The sequence below is a fragment of the Homo sapiens genome, chromosome 7 (genome assembly GCF_000001405.40).
Source record: "Homo sapiens chromosome 7, GRCh38.p14 Primary Assembly".
NCBI lineage: Eukaryota > Metazoa > Chordata > Mammalia > Primates > Hominidae > Homo > Homo sapiens.
In genome coordinates, this window is record NC_000007.14 from 49,013,691 (window position 1) to 49,016,473 (window position 2,783).

At 39.5% G+C, this 2,783-nt stretch overlaps 2 annotated features.

The window, feature by feature from the left end:
• Positions 792 to 1,991: an enhancer, noted in NCBI's record as "P300/CBP strongly-dependent group 1 enhancer chr7:49054078-49055277 (GRCh37/hg19 assembly coordinates)". NCBI's record gives its function as "activates an origin of replication core promoter dependent on BRD2, BRD4, P300/CBP, MED14 and CDK7 cofactors, with strong dependence on P300/CBP, by STARR-seq in HCT116 cells {active_cell/tissue: HCT116}" and the evidence as "EXISTENCE:reporter gene assay evidence [ECO:0000049][PMID:35650434]".
• Positions 1,001 to 1,503: an enhancer, noted in NCBI's record as "NANOG hESC enhancer chr7:49054287-49054789 (GRCh37/hg19 assembly coordinates)". NCBI's record gives its function as "activates a minimal SCP1, AML or CMV promoter by ChIP-STARR-seq in primed H9 embryonic stem cells {active_cell/tissue: H9 hESC(primed)}" and the evidence as "EXISTENCE:reporter gene assay evidence [ECO:0000049][PMID:30033119]".

Here is a 2,783-nt window from a genome sequence, read left to right on the forward strand (position 1 = left end):
CAATAAACACAGAACAGGCTTTTGGCAAAATTCAACATCTCTTCATGTTAAAAACTCTCAATAAACTACGTACCGAAGGAACATACCTCAAAATAATAACAGCCATCTATAAAAAACCCACAGCCAACATTATACTGAATGGGCAAATGTCAGAAGCATTCCCCTTGAAAACTGGCACAAGATAAGGATGTCCATTCTCACCATTTCTATTCAACATAGTATTGGAAGCCCTAGCCAGAACAGTCAAGCAAGAGAAAGAAATAAAGGCCATCCAAATAGGAAAACAGGAAGTCAAACTATTTCTGTTTGTATGTGAGATGATTTTATATCTGGAAAACCTCATAGTCTGTACCGAAAAACTCCTTCAGCTGATAAACAAATTCAGCAAAGTTTCAGAATACAAAATCAATGTGCACATATCACTAGCATTTCTATACACCAAGAAGAGCCAAGCCAAGAGCCAAATCAGGAAGGCAGTCCCATTCACAATTGCTTCAAAAAGAATAAAATACATAGGAATGCAGCTAACCAGGGAGGTGAAAGATCTCTACAATGAGAATTACAAAACACTGCTTAAATAAATTAGAGAAGACAAAAACAAATGGTAACATCCCATGCTCTTGGATAGGAAGACTCAATATTGTAAAAATGACCACACTGCCCAAAGCAATTTACAGATTCAATGCTATTCCTATCAAACTACCAATGACAATTTTCACAGACCTAGGAAAAACTATTTTAACATATATATGGAATCACAAAAGAGCCCAAATAGCCAAGGCAATTCTAAGCAAAAAACAAAATAAAACAAAACAAACAAACAAACAAAAGCTGAAGGCCTCACGTTACCAGACATCCAACAATATTACAGTGCTACAGTAACCAAAACAGCATGACACTGGTTAAAAAAAAATAGGCATATATATCAGGGGAACCCAACCCCGATAATTCAACATGAGTCCTTTTCTATTTTCCCTAAGTGTCCGCCAGTCTGAGAAATAAAGGGAAAGAGTACAAAAGAGAGAAATTTTAAAGCTGGGTGCCTGGGGGAGACATCACATGTCAGCAGGTTCCTTGATGGCCCCTGAGCCGTAAAACCAGCAAGTTTTTATTAGCAATTTTCAAAGGGGAGGGAGTGCACGAATAGGGTGTGGGTCACAGAGATCACATGCTTCAAGGGCAACAAAAGATCACAAGGCAAAAGGTCAGAGTGAAACTAGAATCACTAATGAACTTTCATGTGCCCCTGTGCACGCATTATCAGGGTTCAAGAGCAGAGAACCGGTCTGACTAGAATTCGCCAGGCTGGAATTTCCTAATCCTTGCAAGCCTGGGCATGCTGCAGGAGACTAGGGCATGTTTCATTCCTATCTACATCTGCATAAAGGCAGACACTCCCAGGGTGGCCATTTCAGAGCTCTCCCCTGGGAATGCATTCTTTTCCCAGGGCTGTTAATTATTAATATTCCTTACTGGGGAAAGAATTCAGCAGTACTTCTCTTACCCATTTCTGGTAATAAGAGAAATGTGTCTCTGTCCTGCCCAGCCCACAGGCAGCCAGACTTTAACGTTATCTCCCTTGTTCCCTGAACACGCTGTTATCCTGTTCTTTTTTCAAGGTGCCCAGATTTCATATTGTTTAAACACACATGCTCTACAAACAATTTGTGCAGTTAATGCAATCATCACAGGGTCCTGAGGCAACATTCATCCTCAGCTTATGAAGATGATGGGATTAAGAGATAAAAGTAAAGACAGGCATAGGAAATCACAAGAGTATTGATTGGGGAAGTGATAAATGTCCATGAAATCTTCACAATTTATGTTCTTCTGCCATGGCTTCAGCTGGTCCCTCCTTTTGGGGTCCCTGACTTCCCGCAACACATATAGACCAATGGAACAGAATAGAGAGCACAGAAGTAATGCCAGACACCTACAACAACTGGATATTTGACAAAGCTGACAAAAGCAAGCAATGGGGAAAAGACTCCCTATTCAATAAATGGTGCTGGGATAACTGGTGACCCATGTGCAGAAGGTGGAAGCTGGATCCCATTCTTACACCGTACACAAAAGTCAACTCAAGATGGATTAAAAACTTAAGTATAAAACCCACAACTATAAAAATCCTGGAAGACAACCTAGGCAACACCATTCTGCAGATAGGTACAAGGAAATATTTCATGACAAAGACACCAAAAGCAATTCCAACGAAAGCAAAAATTGGCAAATGAGATCTAATCAAACTAAGGAGTTTCTGCACAGCAAAAGAAACAATCAACAGAGTGACAGACAACCTACAGAATGAGAGAAAATATTTACAAACTATGCATCTGACAAAGATCTAACATCCAGTATCTATAAGGAACTTAAACAAACCTACAATAGAAAAACAACCCCATTAAAAAGTGGGCAAAGGACATGAACAGACACTTTTCAAGAGAAGACATACATATAGCCCACAAACATATGAAAAAAAGCTTCATACCACTGATCATTAGAGAAATGCAAGTCAAAACCACAATGAGGTACCATTTCACACCAGTCAGAATGACTATGACTAAAAAGTAAAAAAATAACTGATTCTGGCAAGGTTGCAGAGAAAAGGGACCCTTATGCACTCCTGATGGGAGAGTAAATTAGGTCAACCCTTGTGGAAAACAGTATGGGGATTCCTCAAAGAGGTAAAAGCAGAACTACCCTTTGACCCAGAAATCTCATTACTGAGTATATACCCAGAGGAATATAAATCATTTACCATAAAGACACATGCACACAAATGT